Source organism: Homo sapiens, chromosome 3 (assembly GCF_000001405.40).
Source record: "Homo sapiens chromosome 3, GRCh38.p14 Primary Assembly".
Taxonomy (NCBI): Eukaryota; Metazoa; Chordata; class Mammalia; order Primates; family Hominidae; genus Homo; species Homo sapiens.
Window position 1 is genome coordinate 49,161,381 of NC_000003.12, and position 9,919 is coordinate 49,171,299.

The window sequence follows — 9,919 nt, forward strand, 5'->3', positions numbered from 1 at the left end:
GCTGAGTGTGGCTCTCAGGTCATTCCCCATATTCACATCATGAATGAAAGAGTTGTCAGAGGCAAGTAGCATGTAAGGTAGTGGGGCGACAGCACAGCTGGGAGCAAGGTCCCAGAGCTTGGGAAACCAAGGGAGGACACACCCAGGGGAAGCATGCCACAAGATGCAGAAGGGGCAGGAGGGCACCAAGAAGCACAGAGCTTCTCCACAGGTCCACCACCCAGGGCAGCTGGCAGCTTGTGGGGCCCAAACCCAGAAACAGAAAACATCTGATTCTCACTGAAATGATGCCCCTACCCCAGGGAGGGGGAATGTGTGCCCCTCCCTGCCAACCCCAGGCACTGCCATTCAGCCTGGGCAGCCAGTGATGGACTACAGATGGGCAGGACAGTTACCTCCTTCAGGTCCCAGGGCCCAGCCCCCTCTCTAAAGCAGGAAGGGTGACAATGTATTTTAACATATGGACCATGTTGGAGGGCATGATGAGGCTGGACCTGGGAGTAGAGAGAGCACTTAAGATTCATACAGAAAGCACTGCTGATGAGGCAGTCATGGAAAACCTCACCCAACCAAGGAGAAAATTATTTGGTCACTGAGGGCAAGCTCTGTGGTCCTGACTCAACCACCAGTACCTTGCCACCAATCGAAGTTGAGGATAGTTACTCTCTGCCACGAGAGCAGAGTGGGGAGAAGCACCTCAACCCCTTTGGGCCTGGACCCACACCAGAAAAGCCCAGGCTAAGCCCCAAGATTTTAGCCAGGCTGTCTGTTTGGTCCCTAGGGAAGTACCACAAAGGCTCCATTCCAGGACCTAAAAACCCACTAGCTGCAAGGTTCCCCATGGAACCTACTGTCCTGCATGGGGCCTACTGTCCTGAATGGGGCCTGTCTGGATCACAAACCAGAGCAGCCTCAAAGGGAAGTGTCTTACTTCACAGTGGCTCTGCTTCTGCATTCAGGGGATGCCTCTCAGACAACCACAGAAGCCAATTTCCCCTCATCTCTCCAAAGGGGCCCAGGAGCTGCCTCCTCCCACAACCCCCGGAAATAGGCAGGCCTATTTCTGGGACCACTTTCCCTATATCTTCAAGCTGGCCTGCCAGCAGCCACACACACACAGAAGACCATGGAGGGTGGGCAGGGAGACTGGAAGGTGGAAAGGTATAAAACGTGATAGATGGAACAGTAGACATACAACTTGAATAACAAGTCACAGTGCATCGCGCCATGAAAACACCCCTCCCGCCCACCCACCCCACCGTACCCCACCCACTCTGGTTTCTGAAAGGAGGCTGGTGGTCACCAGGGCCCTAGAGAGGCACCGGGAGTCCTCAAGATTGTGGAGTCCACGGACATAGCACACTGTGCCACTAGCCACACAGACAGCTGGGCTTAGTTTCCCCAAACATTGCCGTGTGAAGGAATCAGACTGCTGAATATGGCAGCAATGGCTGGAGCCGTATTACAGGTGACAGGTTCACGCGGAGGATCCGCTGAGCCCGCTGCCGCACCTCATCATCCGAGGACCGCCTATCTACCTTTATGGCACGGAACTTCAGCAGCTTTGCTGTTCCAGGCCCTAGCCATGCCTTAGGAGATCGGGGCCCAAGCCGTGTTCTCTTCTTGGGAGGAAGATCTTTTGCCTCCTCAGCCCTTTTCCTCTTCTGCCCAACAGTCTCAGGGCGGTTTTTCTGGCCCTTCCTTGTAGTTCTGGCCTTAGCAGATCCCTTTGGCCTGCCTCTGCCCCTGGGCTGGGTCCGAGCCACCTTGGCCTTGGCCCGTACTGCCTTGGCTTTAGCCTTGGCCTTGGCCCATGCTGCCATGACTTTGGCCTTGGCCTTGACCTGTGCTGCCTTAGCTTTGGCCTTAGCCTTGACCTGTGCTGCCTTGGCCTTGGCCCGGGCCTTAGCAGCCTTGGCCTGTGTTCGAGCCACCTTGGCTTGGGCACGAGCAGCTTTGGCCAGTGTTCGAGCTACCTTGGCCTGGGCTGTTTTGGTGCCCAGGGCAGAGCCCCCTTTCATTCGCCGGACACTGGGGGACCCAGTGGCTCTGTTGGTTTTGCTCTGGTGCCCAGAGCCTCGTCGGGGTCCAGCCCCAGGGCCTTTGCGAGTCAGACACTTGGGGCCCTTGCTTGTGGTTTTTCTGGGAGCTTTGGGCCGAGGGTTCCCCGGACCCTTCCCTGAACTTTTCCGCAGTTTCAGAGGAGAGTCTGCAAGTGAGAGCTGCAGTGACTGTGCCTTGTGCTTGGCACCCAAGCAGGGCATGGGAGTCTTAAGTGGAACCAGGGCCTCAAGGACAACAGAGAGCCGCATGGCAGGGTAGACACCTGGATAAAGGTGGGTGGGGAAGCCCACTGCTGCACCCCGGGCATGGCTGGCACTTGATTGCTTCAGAGAGCTCAGCAGCAGGTTGGTGGTAGCATGCTTGGCAAGGGCTGGTGTGGATGCTTTGGCCAGTCTGCCAGATAGCGGCATGGGAAGCAGTGTGGCCCGACCTGCAGGCAACCGCATGGCAGTTCGGGGAGCACTGGCTGGAGGTGATGTGGCAGTTGGGTTAGGGGCACGAGCTTGCAGTTTCGTCTGGCTTGGGGGATTAGCTGTGCATGAACTATAGCCATAGACATCACCACTGCGCAGGATGGTAGGTTGGAAGCCATCATCTCGCAGGCCCTGCAGGAAGGCCACAAGCTGGGCCTCTGTGGCACTGAGATCCTGGCTCATTGGGTTAAAGACAAGCAGTGCCTCTTCCAGGGCCTTCTTCCCTGCCGTGGAGATGCGCGACCAGGAGTGCACAGCTTTTTCCTCCACATGCTGAACCACCACACTCATGGCATTAGGCACTGCAGATCTGCCTGGGTATCCGCAAACCAGCGCTTGGCACCTCCAAGACAAGAGGAAAAGAGTCAATAAGAATGGCACTAAGACAAGGGGCCAGAACACATAGACAAGTCAATCAGTGCCCCAATCTCCATGACACTGAGGAATCTGGCCAGAGTGAGACACTTCCTGGTGTAAAACCCTGGTCTCCTGACCCTCTACCATGCTGGGGTGGGAGGAGAGGCTAAGGATCAGGGAGTTTCTTCAAGATACATGCTCAGAAATACCTCAGAGCCATCCAACCTGCTGCCGGGTCCCTGAAAAGATTTGAGCCTGGTACATTTTAATTCAACTCTGTATTTTCTGAAGCCAGAAACCTAGAATTACTCAGCTCTGGGAATACAGGCAATATCCCTGTCCTCAAGGAACCTAGGTTAGAAGGCCAGAAAAAGACACTGTTAAGATTCTTGGGAGTGAATGCTGGCATTCAGCTCAGTTTGCCAATGGGTCAGGAAAGGATTCCTGGGAGAGACAACACCTAGCTAGGATATGAGTGATGAATGAAAAATGATTAGATGGAAATGGAACAAAAAGGGGAATAGCTAATGCAATGGCTCCAAAGTGAGAAAGGGTTAAGGCATACTTGGTGTGGGATCTGGGATCTAGGTGAAAAAACAGGCGAGGATAGAGCAACAAAGAACCCTGAATGTTAGCCAAAGGGCCCAGACTTACACCCACTGTCCATGCCCATCTGTTTCTCCAGCTGCTGCTGTTCATGTGTGGAGCTGGAGTGGGGTGGGGGAATCTCCCTGCCCACCAGAAGTTCTGTTTTCAGTCTCTAGACAGGGTACTCAGCAACCCATTTTCTAGCTCCAGAGGCATGGAGACCTAATCAAGAGTCGGACTTTTCTTCAACAGAAACTAAAAAGCTGATGAGTAGCAGGTGCCAATGACATCTCTCTAGGCAACCAGGCAGACCAGGGACCAGGAAGCCAGACCAAGATCCCAAAGTTTAAGGACAATGGGAGCCAAAGGCTGCAAGTAGGATGGTGAGTCAAGGGGACATTAGCGGTATGCACTGTCCTACCTAAGACTTGGAGGGCCACAGACCTCAGTACAGCCCAGATGGAGGTGACTGAGAACACCTAACTACTCCCAGACTTCTTTAAAGAAGCTGTGGACATCAATCATAACTAACATCTAATACCCAACCCAACACTGAGGGTTCCCAGAAGCAAGAGGCAGCTCCCCAGCTGCACCAGAGCATTAAAAGATCAGCCAGGATCAGGCAGGTCCCTCGGGCCATGAGGCCCGTCTGTGTAGTTTCTTCCCACCGCTCTAATGCAGCAGATGAAGTCTTCAGAATACCCTGGAGGAAATGCCCTAGGGCTCTTTGTTTGGAAACATTCTTGGATCCTCAGGTGTCTTGGGCACTTCCCCTCCCCAGAGACCGTTCTCCAAGCACAATCCTTGCACATGACTTTAGTTCTTTATTAATGTTTTTTGAAGGGATGTAGTTCCCAGAGCTGTGAACTGTAGAAGAGAGAGGGACCTATTTCCCACCCTCACACGCGCCCCAGCGCAAATATTTGGGGTGACCTGGGGGCTCTTCCACCCAGGTTAGGCTGGGCTCTTGGGAGGGGTTTTCTGGGCTTTCGAGAAGCTTCGGAAACAGAGGCTCCTGCCCGGCCTCCGACTTCCCTTCACACGTGCCCCCGGGGAAGGCAGGAGAAGTTGACGGAAGATAGGGCGTGAGAGAGGCGCCACACAGGCAGACCGGGGGAGGGGGCAGATCGGGGCCCTCAGGCTGGGAATGCACGTCCTTAGGGCCCAAGCCGTGAGGCGGGGGTCACTGAGGCAGCGAAATGTACAGGGTGAACGGTGCTAGCCCTACCGGGACCGCACAGCCCCAGGGTGGGGTCGCTGGGCGCGGGGTGGGGGTGGGGTGGGGGGTCTCGGCCAGGCCGGCGGAGGACGCGGGTCCGGGAAGAGTTGGCCGCTTGCCCGTCCGCCCTGCCGCCTCGCGGGCCGCCCCTCCGCGGCGCGGCTAGGCCCGCGGCTCCAACCTACCGGCGCCGCCGCGGGGACCCAAGACGCGCCTCTGCGCCGCCTCCGCTGCTCCAACATGGCCGCCCGCTGCGCGCCGGAAGTGCACTGCGCTTCCGCTTCCGGGACCCAGCCCGCCCTACCGACCCTTGACCCCTGAGACCCCATTTCCCCACAAAGTCTGGGGGCGGAGCAGATTGGGTACCAAGGAGGACTGCCTGGAGGTGGTGGCCGCGGTGACTGCTCCAAACCCGTTCGGCCCTGTGCAGAAGTCTGAAGAACAGAGGTGCCCTCTGACGCGGCCCCAGGCAAGGACTCACTAGAGCCCGGCCAAGACTGGATTAGGGGTCATCTGACACCTTTTCTGAGGGGAGCTAGTGGTGCATTGACATCTGGGAGGGGCTCCTGACAAGGTTCAGGCCATCTTCCACCCTCTGATCTATCTTTAGCCACTGACAATGCCCACTTCAGTCCCAGACACCTGACCAGAGGGTGAAAGAGGAGTGCCTCCTGACAGGGAGTCTCAGGTGATCTCCTTTGTTTTGCAGTAAGGGTATCTTCTCCGAGGACAGCAGGCCTTCCTCTCTTCCTGAGAATAGGGCCTGTGGCACATGGCATGAAAGGCTGGTGTGCACGTGATCACAAGTGGTGCACGCAAGCCCAAGCGCACATGGAGTCTGGGGGCTCCAGTATACCACTGTGGGCCTGAGTATACTTGCTCAGGCAGGTGGGGGCAGGTATAGTCACTGGCCCAGCCTCAGCCCCTCAATGGAAGGAAGTCCTGCTTCCAGTCTTAACACTGCCCAGAACCCCTTTCCTTTTGCCTAGGAGTCTGGGACCTCAGTCTTTTTATCCATGCTCTTGGGCTAGTACGGGGTGGTGGTTATAGGACACAGGTCAAAATCAACCCTAGGGGTCTGTGACTTCAGTGAGAGGTCAGAGTGGTCTCCACAGCTCTGACCAAAGGTCCCATTAGTCAGAGGTTTGCAAGTCCAGGTTGGGAACCATCCTGGGAGCCCTGGTTTCATGGATGAGGTAGTGGGGGCATTTGCACTAGGGTCAGAGCCTGAGCCAGGAGGCAGAAATATTGCCACAACTCTTGGACTCTGACCCTTGCAGTGGTGCCTTATTTGGTAGTTGGGGTCAGGTGGAAGCCTATTGGCAATCACAGGAGGGTGGCGGGATGCTTCATTTAGGGACTGGGTACTAGCCCTTTTTCCTGCCCTTTTTCCAACCAGGATCCTCTGGTTGCTCTGTATTTTCCCTGCTTATACAGAGGGGTCCAGGCACTCCTAAAGACAAGTGCCTAGTCCACCCAGCAGTGCCATAGGCCTCATCTGGTGCCTCTTAGCTTCCCAGGGCCTCAGCACTAATGGTGAGGTCCTCGCTGCTTTTAAGTATAGCCAAGGTATCTAGCAGGAACTGCAAAATCTCCTGTTCCTCTGGGGTCAGTGCTTCTAGCCTTTTTTTCCTGGTGGAGAGAAAGCAAGAGTAGGGTCCCAGGGGCCAGGATCTCATGGGGTGCAGTCAGGAAGCCCCACCTTGGTGCCCCCAGTCCCCAGCTGTGGGTGAGTCCAGTCTCTGGCCGTCCATGGTTGAAGATTGACTGTTCACTTATTCAGGACCGATTCAACCAGTTACCTTCTGCAGCTTCTCCAAAGCCGGCAGTGTTGGCCTCCTGTGTGCAGGTGGGCCATGGCTGTGCAAACAGAAACCCCTTCCATGGAGAGCCAGAGCCCATCCTCCAGGGATAGCAACAGTACAGTTATATCCAGACCCCTCTCTGGTGATGTTCAGCTCAGAAGTTAGGGCAAATGGAAAACCAGGAAGGGTAGGTCCATCCTCCGGCTGTGCTGTGTCCCTTCCAGACATGAGAACTGGGGAAATGATAGAGATTAGGGATAAGGATCATGGGGGTACCTAGCTCCCTTTGGGGGTGGTAGGGCCGAACTTTTTGCCTCCTGGTGCCCAGTATGCCCTAGATGGAACTCTTTGGGAGCGCTCATCAGAGTGCAGTCTGACTTGACCTGGACTCTAGTGGCTGCTGAGCCTACAGGCACAACTGGGACCAGACAGGATGAGATGGGAGAGAACACAGGGTGATCCCAGGACCCAATCTTTGCTTTCCATTTGGCATCTTATATGGTTCTTTTTTTCCTTCTTCTTCCTTTTTTTTTTTTTTTTTTTTTTTTTTGAGACAGTCTCCTTTGTTGCCCAGGCTGGAGTGCAGTGGCGTGATCTCAGCTCACTGCAACCTCTGCCTCCCAGGTTCAAGCAATTCTCCTACCTCAGCCTCCAGAGTAGCTGGGACTACAGGCGCCTGCCATCACACCTGGCTAATTTTTGTATTTTTAGTAGAGGTGGGGTTTCACCATGTTGGCCAGGCTGGTCTCAAGCTCCTGACCTCAAATGATCCACCCACCTTGGCCTCCCAAAGTGCTGGGATTACAGGCGTGAGCCACTGTGCCTGGCCAATTTTTTGTATTTTTAGTCAAGCTGGGGTTTCACCATGTTGGCCAGGCTGGTCTTGAACTCCTGACCTCAGGTGATCTGCCCACCTCAGCCTCCCAAAGTGCTAGTATTACACGTGTGAGCCACCTGCCCCTCCAGCCTTATATGGTTCTCAGTGGATCCTGGACCCAGCTCTATCTGAGCAGAGAGATGTGATGGAGCTTTAGATGTGAATGAAGGCAGTGGCCTGGGAGGGACTGCCCCAAGAGGAAATATGTGTGCCAGGGAGAAAAGCCAGGGTTGAATCTTGAGGAGCCAATTCCTGGTGATGGAGAAGAAGCAGAGCCTGCAAAAGATTCTAGGCCAGGCGCGGTGACTCATGCCTGTAATTCCAGCACTTTGGGAGGCCAAGGCGGACGGATCCCGCAGTCAAGAGATGGAGACCATCCTGGCCAACATGGTGAAACCCCATGTCTACTAAAAATACAAAAAATTAGCTGGGCATGGTGGCACGTGCCTGTAGTCCCAGCTACTCGGGAGGCTGAGGCAGGAGAATCATTTGAAACCACCGGAAGGCGGAGGTGGCAGTAAGCTGAGATCACGCCACTGCACCCTAGCCTGGGCAACAAGAGTGAAACTCCGTTTCAAAAAAAAGATTTTGAGAGGTGGGCTGGGCGCGGTGGCTCATGCCTGTAATCCCAGCACTTTGGGAGGCTGAGGTGGGCGGATCACGAGGTCAGGAGATCGAGACCATCCTGGCTAACACGGTGAAACTCCATCTCTACTAGAAATACAAAAAAAAAAAAATTAGCCGGGCATGGTGGCGGGCCCCTGTAGTCCCAGCTACTCGGGAGGCTTAGACAGGAGAATGGCATGAACCTGGGAGGCGGAGCTTGCAGTGAGTGGAGATGGCACCACTGCACTCCAGCCTGAGTGACAGAGCAAGACTCCGTCTCAAAAAAAAAATAAATAGATAAAAAATAAAGATTCTCAGAGGCAGGACAAACAGCAGGAGGGAGTTGAGGTCACAAGGGGCAAAACTTTGAAGATGCTAGCAAGATTTAGTTAAGGACCACAGGCACATATAGTTTTAGCTATATGGTATTTCATGATGACTTTTCCAAGAACAATTTTTGGGGAGGAGTGGCAGCACATTGAGGTGACAAGTAACAAGGAGGTGGAGCCTGTGAGGACAGATGGCTTCAAGAGTTTGACTGGAGTGGAGGAAGGGGAGACTAGAGAGACTTGGGGTGTTGGGAGGTATCTAAAGGCAAGTGGCTTGTAAGTGTTTAATTGCTGGAAAGGAGGAGGAGGGAGCTTGGAAAGGGAACAGTAGCAAATGTGAAGGGGGCTGCAGAGCAGTGTGAGCCTCTTGGAAGCCTATTGGCAATCACAAGAGGGTGGAAACAGTGCCCCAAGTGAGGGCACTGAGGAGCAAGTCCAAGGTGAAGTGGGACAAGGAGGATTGAGGCCTTCAAGTCAGGGTCTGTGCAGTCTGTAACCAGCCTTGGCACCACCATTTCTGTGCAGGCCGACTGAATCCAACTGACAGTCCCTGAAAAGAGCAAAGGCTCTCTTCTCCGGTCATGCGGGAGGGTCTACCCATAGACTTCTGGGAAGGCCAGATGTGAGGGAGGCCAGGGAGTTAATAGGTAATGCCCCCAAACAGCTCTCAACCCATGACTAATGGAGATTTGAGAATGAGTATCTCAGCTCCCCTTGTTCTTGGGGGCAGCAATGATGTAAGGCCTATGTTCTACGCTGGCTCCCAGAATCCCCAGCAGGATTTGGTCCCAATGGCCCACAGTGGTAGCTTGCTTGATGACACTTCCTTTATTGGCTGCTTTCCTTGTCTCCTTGCCACTGCTGGTGTTTCTTGGCCTCACCTCCCATACTAACTATATGCATGTATATCTTTGTCCAGGTCTGCTTTGGGGGAAACTAAGATAAGCACTGTCCATGAAAGGGGGACAAGGCAGTGAGCAGACACAGACAACTGCAAGGACCTCTTCCCACAGGTACCACTGACCTGTACAAATGGGCCCTCAGCTTGAAGACTTAGCTAATACTCTGAATGCTCAGAAGATAGGCAGGGCCAAGGTCTGGGCCTGAGGTAGGTGGGCCCCTGTCACACTAGTTTGCTCTTGCTTGACCCCAGAATTGGTTAGAGGCAAGCTCAGGATACTAAAAATTGATAGTTATAATGTGCCTTGGGTCCCAGAGTAGCCCAGGTCTCTCAGGCCCTACAGGATGAGGCCAGAGTGACCCACTGGGAGGTCCCCTGGCCTCTGACTCTTCCAGCACATTCTCTGCTCAGTATCACTCCTTCCAGGAATTCTCCCCACCCAGGTTTGTAGAAGGGCCAGTGCCTTCTGTTCCTCCACCCCCGCTAGCCTCAGTGTACACTGTAAGACCTATTCCTGCTTTATGCCCAGGTAAGGGCGCCCCAGGCTGCCCCCACACGACAGAGGCCCAGGCCATGTCCCCAGTGGCCTCCAGGGGGCGCCGCCGGGAAGCCTGTAATTGGGCTCCTGGGAGCTCCGCGGAGGTGGGCAGGCGCCGGCCCCTCAAGCCCTCGGGTTCGGCTGGCCTGCTCGACACAGCCT

At 54.8% G+C, this 9,919-nt stretch overlaps 1 protein-coding gene across 1 annotated transcript, besides 6 other annotated features; it reads right to left on the bottom strand.

Annotated features, from left to right (window-relative positions):
- Positions 1 to 1,154: 1,154 nt before the first annotated feature.
- CCDC71 (coiled-coil domain containing 71) lies at positions 1,155 to 4,951 on the bottom strand. The gene is made up of 2 exons (NM_022903.4): positions 4,887 to 4,951; positions 1,155 to 2,880 (listed from the first exon to the last, which is right to left on the bottom strand). Exon 2 carries the CDS (start codon positions 2,826 to 2,828, stop codon positions 1,425 to 1,427), a length of 1,404 nt encoding a protein of 467 aa, NP_075054.3. The 5' UTR covers positions 2,829 to 2,880; positions 4,887 to 4,951; the 3' UTR covers positions 1,155 to 1,424.
- Positions 1,977 to 2,477: an enhancer, noted in NCBI's record as "H3K4me1 hESC enhancer chr3:49200790-49201290 (GRCh37/hg19 assembly coordinates)". NCBI's record gives its function as "activates a minimal SCP1, AML or CMV promoter by ChIP-STARR-seq in naive and primed H9 embryonic stem cells {active_cell/tissue: H9 hESC(naive and primed)}" and the evidence as "EXISTENCE:reporter gene assay evidence [ECO:0000049][PMID:30033119]".
- Positions 4,713 to 4,772: a silencer, noted in NCBI's record as "silent region_14355". NCBI's record gives its function as "represses an Ori minimal core promoter by ATAC-STARR-seq in GM12878 lymphoblastoid cells {active_cell/tissue: GM12878}" and the evidence as "EXISTENCE:reporter gene assay evidence [ECO:0000049][PMID:35858748]".
- Positions 4,793 to 4,872: a silencer, noted in NCBI's record as "silent region_14356". NCBI's record gives its function as "represses an Ori minimal core promoter by ATAC-STARR-seq in GM12878 lymphoblastoid cells {active_cell/tissue: GM12878}" and the evidence as "EXISTENCE:reporter gene assay evidence [ECO:0000049][PMID:35858748]".
- Positions 5,023 to 5,092: an enhancer, noted in NCBI's record as "active region_19856". NCBI's record gives its function as "activates an Ori minimal core promoter by ATAC-STARR-seq in GM12878 lymphoblastoid cells {active_cell/tissue: GM12878}" and the evidence as "EXISTENCE:reporter gene assay evidence [ECO:0000049][PMID:35858748]".
- Positions 5,113 to 5,232: an enhancer, noted in NCBI's record as "active region_19857". NCBI's record gives its function as "activates an Ori minimal core promoter by ATAC-STARR-seq in GM12878 lymphoblastoid cells {active_cell/tissue: GM12878}" and the evidence as "EXISTENCE:reporter gene assay evidence [ECO:0000049][PMID:35858748]".
- Positions 9,744 to 9,913: a silencer, noted in NCBI's record as "silent region_14357". NCBI's record gives its function as "represses an Ori minimal core promoter by ATAC-STARR-seq in GM12878 lymphoblastoid cells {active_cell/tissue: GM12878}" and the evidence as "EXISTENCE:reporter gene assay evidence [ECO:0000049][PMID:35858748]".